A 13,849-nucleotide genomic window follows, 5' to 3' on the forward strand; every position below is an offset into this window, starting at 1 on the left:
TGTTGAACCCATGTCCTCTAGATTAGGAAAAATAATGAAAAATGCCTATTGAATATATTATCCAGTATATTGGGTATACATGTTGGATTATATATATGTATAGGATTTATATCTTATATCCAATATATATGATATTCTATATCTTATTGGATATAATATCCAAAAGAAAAGAATTATTCCCTCTGCAATTTCAGACACATACTTTACCTATTAACTATTTACCTTACAGCATCATAGCAAGAGTTATGAGATACCTGTCATGCAAAATTAGGACCAATTTAGGATCAACTAGGACCAATTAGGCTGGTAAAGAAATGGGCTCAGCAAGGTAAACAGAGGTGGCATTTTAACAAGACCAGTCTAACTTGACAGTCACAGCTGTTAACCAATAAACTGAAGCTTTGCTCTCTCAGCCATTTTGTATTTAATTTCCTCAGCTAAAAAGGGAAAAAATATAACAAGAGATGCCCACACTTGGAAGTAAAATATGAATATTCTGAAAGGAAAGAATCAGGGAGGCAGAGCCTAACAGAAAACGTGAAAGATGCTAACAACAACATACTGTACGTGGAAGACGTGAAGAATAAGATATGGCTGTGCAAAAAAGAAAAGAAAGAAAAGAAGACCCTTTATCAGACATACAGAAAAATATAGTTCTGTGTCTGTCTCAGAAGGCATATAGTTACCTGTCACTCCTTTAGATAGAGGTATTCTAGTGCTTCAAATATCTTAGAGAGGATTTAAACATCAGGCGGAAAATAGTAAGTAGATAAATTCAGATTATAATTATTTATTTGTTTTTATTAACTTCATTTGGAGATGTGTAAAATAGGAGATGTAAGCAATATTGAAGATTATAAAAGTAGAAGTAACATATTCCCTCCAAGCTCATTTCATTCCTATTCCCCAGAAAGGATTATTTATTTCCAATGCTGGTTACCGTGACAATAAAGAATGTACAGAAACTTCTGGTCATTTGATGTATTCACAGTTTTCAATATATGCTATTGCCCTGCTGGAAAAGATAAGAGATTTAATAAACTTAGCTTATTTCCCATCTCCCTTCTCTCATCCACACTGTTATTATTTATTATTTTATTATTATTGCTATTGTTAGTAGTAGTTTATTCTATTTATAAGCATAAGTACTATACTTCAACAGTTAGAATTATTTCTTGAAGATTCAAATTTAAACACTTTCTGTCAACTTCCCGACATCTGAAACAAGGAAATGATAAATTTTTCCTTATCTCTCTTCTGTAATTATAAATAATCATTTGACACTTTGCTCTAAGCTGATTCTAAAAACTCAAGTACATTAGCAATGCTAAGAGTATTATTGTTTTTTGAATGTTATTCCTAACAAGAAGTACAATAGTACCTGCGGAAATTGAAAAGTGATCCTAGGACACAAAATAAGTATGAAATGAGTCTTCTTAATCTGTCATGTAACAGTTTGGTTTGTTTCATCTTAGGACCATGACTATCTTGGTGTTTTCTGTTTCATTTTGTTTTTTGTTTTTTTGTTTGTGGATGCGTTTTGTTTTTAGCAATGGCTTCCAATTTTATTTAATCTTGTTGAAGAAACACCTACATAGTGATACATATGATCTGCTAGAATATTAATGTTTTCATTTGTCTGATGAAATCTTTCAGACTGATTTCCCCTTCTAATTTAAACTGTTTTTTTTTCCCCTACATCTGCTGTAAAGCTGACAACCTGGAATATACACATATATATTTGGTATTGCATGAATATTTATTTACCTACTCTTTCCAGGATTCCTCTCACTAGAGGCTCAAATATTATTATTATTATTTTTATTATTTTTTTTTTGAGACGGAGTCTCGCTCTGTCGCCCAGGCTGGAGTGCAGTGGCTCCATCTCGGCTCACTGCAAGCTCCGCCTCCCGGGTTCATGCCATTCTCCTGCCTCAGCCTCCCGAATAACTGGGACTACAGGCGCCCGCCACCACGCCCAGCTAATTTTTTGTATTTTTAGTAGAGATGGGGTTTCACCGTGTTAGCCAGGATGGTCTCGATCTCCTGACCTCATGATCCGCCCACCTTGGCCTCCCAAATCGCTGGGATTACAGGTGTGAGCCACCGCACCCAGCCTCAAATATTATTTTTAAAAAGATAAACTTCCTGAATGATCGAATTTCTAAAAATACATTTATTTTAGACTCACACTTGATCGCCAGTATACCTAAGAACTGAATTCTAGATTAATAACAATATTTCTTAATGTTCTTATAGGCATTCAATCCTGAAGGATATATATATTTACTTTTGTAGGTTAACTTGCATTTTATCTTCCCATAAATTCTACAATTTTCTCAGTATTCTTAGAATTAATAAATTATTCAATATTCAATATTGATAAAATATTTCTCAGTATTCTTAGAATTGGTTCTAGATAAATTTTTAGTGTAGGCATTTTTACTAACTTATCTTGTCTTAAATCCAGTTGACTTTTTTCAGTATGAGAGTTTTAGACTTCCTTTAGCACAAATAAATTTTTAAGATTTACTTGAGGGCCGGGCACAGTGGCTCACACCTTTAATCCCAGCATTTTGGGATGCCAAGGCAGGAGGATCACTTGATCCCAGGAGTTCAAGACCACCCTGGGAAATATGGCAAAACCCTGTCGCTACAAAAAATAGAAAAATTAGCCAGGCCTGCTTGTAGTCCCAGCTACTCAGGAGGCTGAGGTGGGAGGATCACTTGAGCCCAGGAGGTTGAATCTCGCCACTGCACTCCAACCTGGGCAACACAGTGAGACCATGTGTCAAAAAAAAAAAAAAGTTACTTGAATCTTTACAAGTGAGTTTGGTCTATATATGTTTATTTTCTTTGTTTAATTTTGCTTTCAAAGTGTTCCAGGATGAACAAAATAAATCAAAGAGGGGTTGGCTTTTCCTTCTTATTTTTTGAAGCATGTACCAAATTTTGGAGATTTCATAAAATTTCGCTATAAACCTGGACCTGATGACTTTTTTTTTTTTGAGACGGAGTCTCACTCTGTTGCCAGGCTGGAGTGTAGTGGCACAATCTTGGCTCACTGCGGCCTCTGCCTCCCGGGTTCGAGTGATTCTCCTGCCTCAGCCTCACGAGTAGCTGGGTTTACAGGCATGCACCACCACACCCAGCTAATTTTTGTGTTTTTAGTAGAGACGGGGTTTCACCATGTTGGCCAGGATGGTCTTGATCTCTTGACCTTGTGATCTGCCTCCCTCAGCCTCCCAAAGATCTGAGATTACAGACGTGATGACTTTTGTGATTTTATTGTCAGTTAAATTTTTTGAAAGGATTTCAATTTCTTATTGTGGGAGGGGGGGATATTTGATACTTTTCTAGGCATTTTCATTTTATTTAACTTTTTAAATTTAAAGGTTTATGTTAGTTTAGAGTAATCAACTGGGACATTTAAAAACAATATAATCATTGATATGTCACTTTTTTCAATTGTAATGATTTTTATTACTTTATTCATTGTGTTTATTATTTTATTACAGTTTTACGTAATTTTATTGAAGCACAGCATATATATAAAAAACATAAAAAAAATTTAGTGTCTAGCTCAAAATATTTTTATCAAGTTAAAATCACACACTTATACAACCACCACCCAGATCAGGAAAGAGAATATCATTAGAACCCCAAGTCATTCTTGGGGTGTCTTTTAGTTGCCACAAACTTATTCCTGTCATAGGACTCTATATTCTTTTTTTTTTCCATTATGTCTTATTTTTATTTCACAACTTGAGAAGTTACCATTGTCAGCTATGCTTTTAAAGACATCAGGCCCATTCTTGCTTCTTCTGATGAAACCAAATCCGATTAAAAACCAAAATACCACTTCTATATACAAGGGTCTAACTATTTTGGACTGAAAGCAAAAATAGTAATTGGATGACCAGTTAATGACCAATTAATGCAGTACAAAGAATGAGAACAGTTCTATTAATGTCCTAGACTGTTAAAATATCATTTTACCAAAAGAAAGTATGTACTTATGAATGTATTCCATATTTATTTACGGATTTTTGGTAACTTTTTGCAAATGATGGTAAACATGGAGTTATAAACCTGAGAACAGATTATAAAACAAAGGTTAAGAAGGGTTTAAATAAATTAATGGATTTGACATCAATCACCAGTTCTTAAAATTAGGGAAGTAAAAGGCATCCCATTAGTCTTTTCAGGTCAATAGTCAAGGACAATTATCATGAATGAATCTGCTTACTATATACTTAACACAAGCTTTGAGAAGAAAAGCATCATAGTTCTGAAATGATGATTGTTCCCTAAGCCACAAATGAGAGGTAGGTTTCCCACCTATCTCAGTTGATAATGTCCAAAAACATCCTTCTCCATGCATCAGAGTAGAAAGAGAATGTACCTCCTACTATGTCAAATGGAATAGATAACTGCAAAGTAGGAACACGTAAGAACATTCTCTAACATTGGTATCAGTCTGATGCTTCCCCTTATCTGCCACTTCAGAGATACACAGGAGAAACGGGTTAATTTTGTCTGAAACCAAGCACAATTAGGGCTAATAAATAATTTAAAGGTGGGGTACTGTAACATATTTCTTACCTACTAAATACGTAAACCATTTGAATCAAGTCCACCTTCAGGCACAAACAAATTAGGAATGGCCACCTACACTGGAGTAGCATAACCTATCAAGTATTTGGTTAGAAAATAAGTGTACTATTTGTGTGATAAAGTTTCACTTTAAATGGATTTTAAAATTATTTTCCCATGAAACATGACAGTTTCTTATATTTGGACTGGAGGTCCCTAATAAAGATACATTTAGTTGTCCCAGCAAAGAATGCTTAGATTGCACATGGAAGCAGTAAACTAAGACAAAGAGATGGAAAATGACATTTAGTTATTTTCCTATACAGATAAGATTTGCAATTGCACTCTTAACAAAACTCAACTCTACAATTTCAATACAGATGGGGAAAGCTGCATATTAACTTAAATACTCTTTTAGCCCTGTACACTCTATTAAAGAACACACTTCTAAATCTAAGGCACACAGATTCCTCTATTTCACAGAGTAAGATTATGGAAGGAAGAGCAAGATTTTGGTTAAATCCCTTACAATGTCCAGGAGATCTTGGACAGAAGACAAGTTATATAGCATTTTGTTAGTGCATAATTTAAAAGAAATGCTATGACTATGCTCTGGTCTTAGAGGTTTAAAACATGCACTCAAATCATTAAAAATAATTTACCAGCACTTTATAAATTCAAGTGTGAAACATAAAAGTGATCACGTTTTCCTTAAAAAGAAAAATACCCAACAGCACTTGGAAAGAAAATTAGAAACCATTTCAATGAAAATGACACCATTACATTTTTGCACACGTCTTTTTCTCTGTTTTTTTTTTTTTTTTGGTAATTTTGACTAGTAGTTTATGAACTTCATTATTTTTCAAGAAAAAATTTTGTCTATTTTTTATTGTATTATGGTTTTCTATTTTATGAATTTCCACCCTTACCATTATTATTTCCTTTGTTATACCTTTTATGTGTTTGTTTACTATTCTTTTTATACTTTCTCAAGATGGAAACTAAGCTGATTAATACTCAGCCTTTTCTCCATAATGTATGCATTTAGGGTGGTAAATATCCCTCAAAGAAGGATTGTCCCTGTATTTCACAACTTGGATATGTTGCATTTTCAAGATAATTCAGTGCAGAATATTTTCTAATTTACACTTTTTTATTTTTCTGTGATCCATTTGTTCTTTAGACATGTGCTTTTTTCAAGAATTTAGGGACCTTCTTTTCCCCTCTGCCTCTTTGTCCTCATTATCCTCTTATGCTTTTTACCACCTTCTCCACATTATAATAATGTTGCATGTTATTATTATTTAACTTAATATTCAGAGACAATATTTATTTTCAATGCTTTTATATTCTTTGAGGATTATTTTACAAGCTGGCAAGTCTAAATTTAACAATTCATATCCATTTGAAAAAATATCCTTATCCATCCCCTAGCATGATGCCCTGTATAATCCACCTTCTGTAAGGTGTACTGTTCGAATGTTTGTCCCCTCAGAAACTCATGTCGAAACTTAATCCCCATTGTAACAGTATTAAGAGGTGGGAACTTTGGGAGGTAATCCTAAGGATTCGGCGAGTTCATGAGGGTGGGGTATTAGTGGTTTTATAGGAGGAGAAAGACCTGAGCTACTACACTCAGCCCCCTTAGCATGTGATGCCCTGTGCCTCCTTGACACTCTGTAGAGGGTCCAGCAAGAAGCCCCTCACCAGATTTGGTCACTTGACTGTGGACTTCCCAGCCTCCAGAACTGTAAGGAACACATTTCTTTTTTTTAATCAGTGACCCAGTTTTGGGTATTCTGTTGGAGCATCAGAAAACAAACTAAGACAAAGAGGAACTCATGACTTGCTTCTAGCCCAAAAGTACAGCAAAGATGGTCACCCTGTATTAGTCAGGATTCCCTAGAGGGACAGAGCTAATACACACACACACACACACACACACACACACACACACAAATATAAAGGAGAGTTTATTAAGTATTAACTTACACAATCACAAGGTCCCACAATAGGAGACAGCAAGCTTGAGGAGCAAGGAGAGCCAGTCCCAGTCTCAAAAGTGAAGAACTTGGAGTCTGCTGTTTGAGGGCAGGAAACATCCAACACGGGAGAAAGATGTAGGCTGGGAGGTTAGGCCAGTCTCTCTTTTTCACATTTTTCTTCCTGCTTATATTCTAGCCACACTGGCAGCTAATTAGATTGTGCCCACCTAGATTAAGGGTGGGTCTGCCTTTCCCAGTCTGTTGACTCAAATGTTAATCTCCTTTGGTAGCACCCTCACAGACACACCCAGGATCAATATTGCAACCTTCAATCCAATCAAGTTGACAGGCAGTATTAACCATCACACACCCCATGATTACATTGTTTTATAAGAATCTGTTTTAGCCACACAGGGAAAGTTCTCTTGATGGCCTTAAAGAAGCAAACAGCCATGCTGTCAACTGCCCATGAAGGAGGCAAGACCTGAGGGCAACCTCCACCTAATAGCATGTAGGAAGCCGAGCCTTCTGTCATACAGCCACAAGGAAATAAACTCTGTCAACAATCTAGATGAGTAGATTCTTACCTAGCCAGAGGACAACGAAATGGCACTTTCAATGGAATACAGTATCTGTCAACCCAGAAACCCATATTCAGTAAAATAACATTTCCAGACAGTCAAAAACTATCACTTTTCTTCATCAATCTTATTGATGAAATGAGAATGTAGTCCAACCAAGACATTAATTGCAACGTGGTGGGACCTCAGAGCAAAGAACCCAGCTAAGCCATTTCTGGGCTCTTACTCTATGGAAACTGAGAGAAAATATATGTGTATTGTTTTAAGCTGCTGTATTTGTGATAACTTGTTATATAATAATAGAAAACAAATACACTGTCTATTACACAATGAATGAAATGTGCTTTTTCATCTCTACTACTGCTTTGGAACTTAAGGTTAACTGGATTTATATTAATATAAGTAAATCAGCTTGCTGTTTCCATGTTGCCATTGCATAGTATACATCATTTTACATTCTATTACTTTAGCCTCTTGTGCCCTCATACTTGAAGTGTATATTTTCTTAGGCACAAAGTTTGTTTTTGTGATTTTATTGTTCTAGTAAGAAAATCTGTGTTTTGTTTGCAGTACTTAGTCTATTATATACAGATATTATTCAGTTTCAGTCCCTTAATGTTTATTTTCTTTTTTTGGCCTTCTTTTTTATGAAGTGTTTTTATTTTTTTCATTGTCTTCTATTATGTTTTTACTTATACATTTGCTTACTCTTCTTTCATTGGCTTTCAAGATATTAAAAAATTCATTCTTGAATTAATATATTTTAGTATAAACTAGTGCTCATTTTTAAGACAATTCCATTTAACATCCGTCTGCTGTTCCTGTTATTGTCATCATGTATTTTACTTCTACATATACTTTAAACGCCAGTAGACATTATTAGTATTTTGTAGAGTAAATTTGCAATTAGATTTACTCACATAATTATCTTCCCAATTTCTATTTATTCTTTCCTCTATTTCTAGTTTTCTCTAGAAAACAATGTTCTTTTCCCTGAAATACTTCATTTTTTATCTTTGGAATATGATTAATAAGGAAAAGTTTTCTTAGTTTTCGTTTGCCAGGAAATGTTATTTCACTGAATTTGAGTGTTTGGGATAGCAAGTATTTGCTTTCAATTAAAGGTAATATTTCATTATCCTCTGGCTTTTATTTTTTTATGTTGAGATGTCAACACTCAGTCCTTTTTATCTTTTTTTTTTTTTTTTGAGATGGAGTCTCACTCTGTTGCCCAGGCTGGAGTGCAGTGGTGCAATCTCGGCTCACTGCAAGCTCTGCCTCCCAGGTTCATGCCATTCTCCTGCCTCAGCCTCCGGAGTAGCTGGGACTACAGGCGCCCACCACCACACCAAGCTAATTTTTTTGTATTTTTAGTAGAGACAGGGTTTCACTGTGTTAGCCAGGAAGGTCTTGATCTGCTGACCTGGTGATCTGCCCGTCTCGGCCTCCCAAAGTGCTGGGATTATAGGTGTGATCCACTGCGCCTGGCCAACACTCAGTCTAATGTTCCTTCTTAAAAGATAATAGGTGTGTTTTCCTTTACCTCTATTTAAGAATTTATCTTTACCTTTAATTTTAAAGAGTACTAATACATTAGACATGCCTATTTGTCACTTACTTTCTATTCCTAGAAAGCAAATTCTGTTTAGGTTCCTAGCACTTCTTGAATCTGCAGATTGATATCTTTCATCATTTTGGAAAATCATAGGCATCATCATATGAAGGATTGCTTTTGCCATTCTTTTTCCTTTGCGATTTCCAAGACTCAAATTATGGATATGTTAAATATCTTCGTCATATCTCATCATATCTTCATCAAGTCTCTTACATTCTATTTTTTTTTTAATTATACTTTAAGTTTTAGGGTACACGTGCACATTGTGCAGGTTAGTTACATATGTATACATGTGCCATGCTGGTGTGCTGCACCCACTAACTCGTCATCTAGCATTAGGTATATCTCCCAGTGTTATCCCTCCCGCCTCCCCCCACCCCACAACAGTCCCCAGAGTGTGATATTCCCCTTCCTGTGTCCATGTGATCTCATTGTTCAATTCCCACCTATGAGTGAGAATATGCGGTGTTTGGTTTTTTGTTCTTGCAATAGTTTACTGAGAATGATGATTTCCAATTTCATCCATGTCCCTACAAAGGACATGAACTCATCATTTTTTATGGCTGCATAGTATTCCATGGTGTATATGTGCCACATTTTCTTAATCCAGTCTATCATTGTTGGACATTTCGGTTGGTTCCAAGTCTTTGCTATTGTGAATAATGCTGCAATAAACATACGTGTGCATGTGTCTTTATAGCAGCATGATTTATAGTCCTTTGGGTATATACCCAGTAATGGGATGGCTGCGTCAAATGGTATTACCAGTTCTAGATCCCTGAGGAATCGCCACACTGACTTCCACAATGGTTGAACTAGTTTACAGTCCTACCAACAGTGTAAAAGTGTTCCTATTTCTCCACATCCTCTCCAGCACCTGTTGTTTCCTGACTTTTTAATGATTGCCATTCTAACTGGTGTGAGATGGTATCTCATTGTGGTTTTGATTTGCATTTCTCTGATGGCCAGTGATGATGAGCATTTTTTCATGTGTTTTTTGGCTGCATAAATGTCTTCTTTTGAGAAGTGTCTGTTCATGACCTTTGCCTACTTTTTGATGGGGTTGTTTGTTTTTTTCTTGTAAATTTGTTTGAGTTCATTGTAGATTCTGGACGTTAGCCCTTTGTCAGATGAGTAGGTTGCGAAAATTTTCTCCCATGTTGTAGTTTGCCTGTTCACTCTGATGGTAGTTTCTTTTGCTGTGCAGAAGCTCTTTAGTTTAATTAGATCCCATTTGTCAATTTTGGCTTTTGTTGCCATTGCTTTTGGTGTTTTAGACATGTCCTTGCCCATGCCTATGTCCTGAATGGTAATGCCTAGGTTTTCTTCTAGGGTTTTTATGGTTTTAGGTCTAACGTTTAAGTCTTTAATCCATCTTGAATTGATTTTCGTATAAGGTGTAAGGAAGGGTTCCAGTTTCAGCTTTCTACGTATGGCTAGCCAGTTTTCCCAGCACCATTTATTAAATAGGGAATCCTTTCCCCATTGCTTGTTTTTCTCAGGTTTGTCAAAGATCAGACAGTTGTAGATATGCGGCGTTATTTCTGAGGGCTCTGTTCTGTTCCATTGATCTATATCTCTGTTTTGGTACCAGTACCATGCTGTTTTGGTTACTGTAGCCTTGTAGTATAGTTTGAAGTCAGGTAGTGTGATGCCTCCAGCTTTGTTTTTTTGGCTTAGGATTGACTTGGTGATGCGGGCTCTTTTTTGGTTCCATATGAACTTTAAAGTAGTTTTTTCCAATTCTGTGAAGAAAGGCATTGGTAGCTTGATGGGGATGGCATTGAATCTGTAAATTACCTTGGGCAGTATGGCCATTTTCACGATATTGATTCTTCCTACCCATGTGCATGGAATGTTCTTCCATTTGTTTGTATCCTCTTTTATTTCACTGAGCAGTGGTTTGTAGTTCTCCTTGAAGAGGTCCTTCTCATCCCTTGTAAGTTGGATTCCTAGGCATTTTATTCTCTTTGAAGCAATTGTGAATGGGAGTTCACTCATGATTTGGCTTTCTGTTTGTCCGTTGTTGGTGTATAAGAATGCTTGTGATTTTTGTACATTGATTTTGTATCCTGAGACTTTGCTGAAGTTGCTTATCAGCTTAAGGAGATTTTGGGCTGACACAATGGGGTTTTCTAGATATACAGTCATGTCATCTGCAAACAGGGACAATTTGACTTCCTCTTTTCCTAATTGAATACCCTTTATTTCCTTCTCCTGCCTAATTGCCCTGGCCAGAACTTCCAACACTATGTTGAATAGGAGTGGTGAGAGAGGGCATCCCTGTCTTGTGCCAGTTTTCAAAGGGAATGCTTCCAGTTTTTGCCCATTCAGTATGATATTGGCTGTGGGTTTGTCATAGATAGCTCTTATTATTTTGAAATACGTCCCATCAATACCTAATTTATTGAGAGTTTTTAGCATGAAGGGTTGTTGAATTTTGTCAAAGGCTTTTTCTGCATCTATTGAGATAATCATGTGGTTTTTGTCTTTGGCTCTGTTTATATGCTGGATTACATTTATTGATTTGCTTATATTGAACCAGCCTTGCATCCCAGGGATGAAGCCCACTTGATCATGGTGGATAAGCTTTTTGATGTGCTGCTGGATTCGTTTTGCCAGTATTTAATAGAGGATTTTTGCATCAATGTTCATCAAGGATATTGGTCTAAAATTCTCTTTTTTGGTTGTGTCTCTGCCAGGCTTTGGTATCAGAATGATGCTGGCCTCATCAAATGAGTTAGGGAGGATTCCCTCTTTTTCTATTGATTGGAATAGTTTCAGAAGGAATGGTACCAGTTCCTCCTTGTACCTCTGGTAGAATTTGCCTGTGAATCCATCTGGTCCTGGACTCTTTTTGGTTGGTAAGCTATTGATTATTGCCACAATTTCAGATCCTGTTATTGGTCTATTCAGAGATTCAATTTCTTCCTGGTTTAGTCTTGGGAGAGTGTATGTGTCGAGGAATTTATCCATTTCTTCTAGATTTTCTAGTTTATTTGCGTAGAGGTGTTTGCAGTATTCTCTGATGGTAGTTTGTATTTCTGTGGGATCGGTGGTGATATCCCCCTTATCATTTTTTATTGCGTCTATTTGATTCTTCTCTCTTTTTTTCTTTATTAGTCTTGCTAGCAGTCTATCAATTTTGTTGATCCTTTCAAAAAACCAGCTCCTGGATTCATTAATTTTTTGAAGGGTTTTTTGTGTCTCTATTTCCTTCAGTTCTGCTCTGATTTTAGTTATTTCTTGCCTTCTGCTAGCTTTTGAATGTGTTTGCTCTTGCTTTTCTAGTTCTTTTAATTGTGATGTTAGGGTGTCAATTTTGGATCTTTCCTGCTTTCTCTTGTGGGCATTTAGTGTTATAAATTTCCCTCTACACACTGCTTTGAATGCGTCCCAGAGATTCTGGTACGTTGTGTCTTTGTTCTCGTTGGTTTCAAAGAACATCTTTATTTCTGCCTTCATTTCGTTATGTACCCAGTAGTCATTCAGGAGCAGGTTGTTCAGTTTCCATGTAGTTGAGTGGTTTTGAGTGAGATTCTTAATCCTGAGTTCTAGTTTGATTGCACTGTGGTCTGAGAGATAGTTTGTTGTAATTTCTGTTCTTTTACATTTGCTGAGGAGAGCTTTACTTCCAAGTATGTGGTCAATTTTGGAATAGGTGTGGTGTGGTGCTGAAAAAAATGAATATTCTGTTGATTTGGGGTGGAGAGTTCTGTAGATGTCTATTAGGTCCGCTTGGTGCAGAGCTGAGTTCAATTCCTGGGTTTCCTTGTTGACTTTCTGTCTCATTGATCTGTCTAATGTTGACAGTGGGGTGTTAAAGTCTCCCATTATTAATGTGTGGGAGTCTAAGTGTCTTTGTAGGTCACTCAGGACTTGCTTTATGAATCTGGGTGTTCCTGTATTGGGTGCATATATATTTAGGATAGTTAGCTCTGCTTGTTGAATTGATCCCTTTACGATTATGTAATGGCCTTGTCTCTTTTGATCTTTGTTGGTTTAAAATCTGTTTATCAGAGACTAGGATTGCAACCCCTGCCTTTTTTTGTTTTCCATTTGCTTGGTAGATCTTCCTCCATCCTTTTATTTTGAGACTATGTGTGTCTCTGCACGTGAGATGGGTTTCCTGAATACAGCACAGTGATGGGTCTTGACTCTTTATCCAATTTGCCAGTCTGTGTCTTGTAATTGGAGCATTTAATCCATTTACATTTAAAGTTAATATTGTTATGTGTGAATTTGATCCTGTCATTATGATGTTAGCTGGTTATTTTGCTCGTTAGTTGATGCAGTTTCTTCCTAGTCTCGACGGTCTTTACATTTTGGCATGATTTTGCAGTGGCTGGTATAGGTTGTTCCTTTCCATGTTTAGCGCTTCCTTCAGGAGCTCTTTTAGGGCAGGCCTGGTGGTGACAAAATCTCTCAGCATTTGCTTGTCTGTAAAGTATTTTATTTCTCCTTCACTTATGAAGCTTAGTTTGGCTGGATATGAAATTCTGGGTTGAAAATTCTTTTCTTTAAGAATGTTGAATATTGGCCCCCACTCTCTTCTGGCTTGTAGGGTTTCTGCCGAGAGATCCAATGTTAGTCTGATGGGCTTCCCTTTGAGGGTAACCCGACCTTTCTCTCTGGCTGCCCTTAACATTTTTTCCTTCATTTCAACTTTGGTGAATCTGACAATTATGTGTCTTGGAGTTGCTCTTCTCGAGGAGTATCTTTGTGGCGTTCTCTGTATTTCCTGAATCTGAACGTTGGCCTGCCTTGCTAGATTGGGGACATTCTCCTGGATAATATCCTGCAGAGTGTTTTCCAACTTGGTACCATTCTCCCCATCACTTTCAGGTACACCAATCAGACATAGATTTGGTCTTTTCACATAGTCCCATATTTCTTGGAGGCTTTGCTCGTTTCTTTTTATTCTTTTTTCTCTAAACTTCCCTTCTCACTTCATTTCATTCATTTCATCTTCCATTGCTGATACACTTTCTTCCAGGTGATCGCATTGGCTCCTGAGGCTTCTGCATTCTTCACGTAGTTCTCGAGGCTTGGTTTTCAGCTCCATCAGCTCC

This window comes from Homo sapiens, chromosome 3 (assembly GCF_000001405.40).
Source record: "Homo sapiens chromosome 3, GRCh38.p14 Primary Assembly".
NCBI classification, from domain to species: domain Eukaryota; kingdom Metazoa; phylum Chordata; class Mammalia; order Primates; family Hominidae; genus Homo; species Homo sapiens.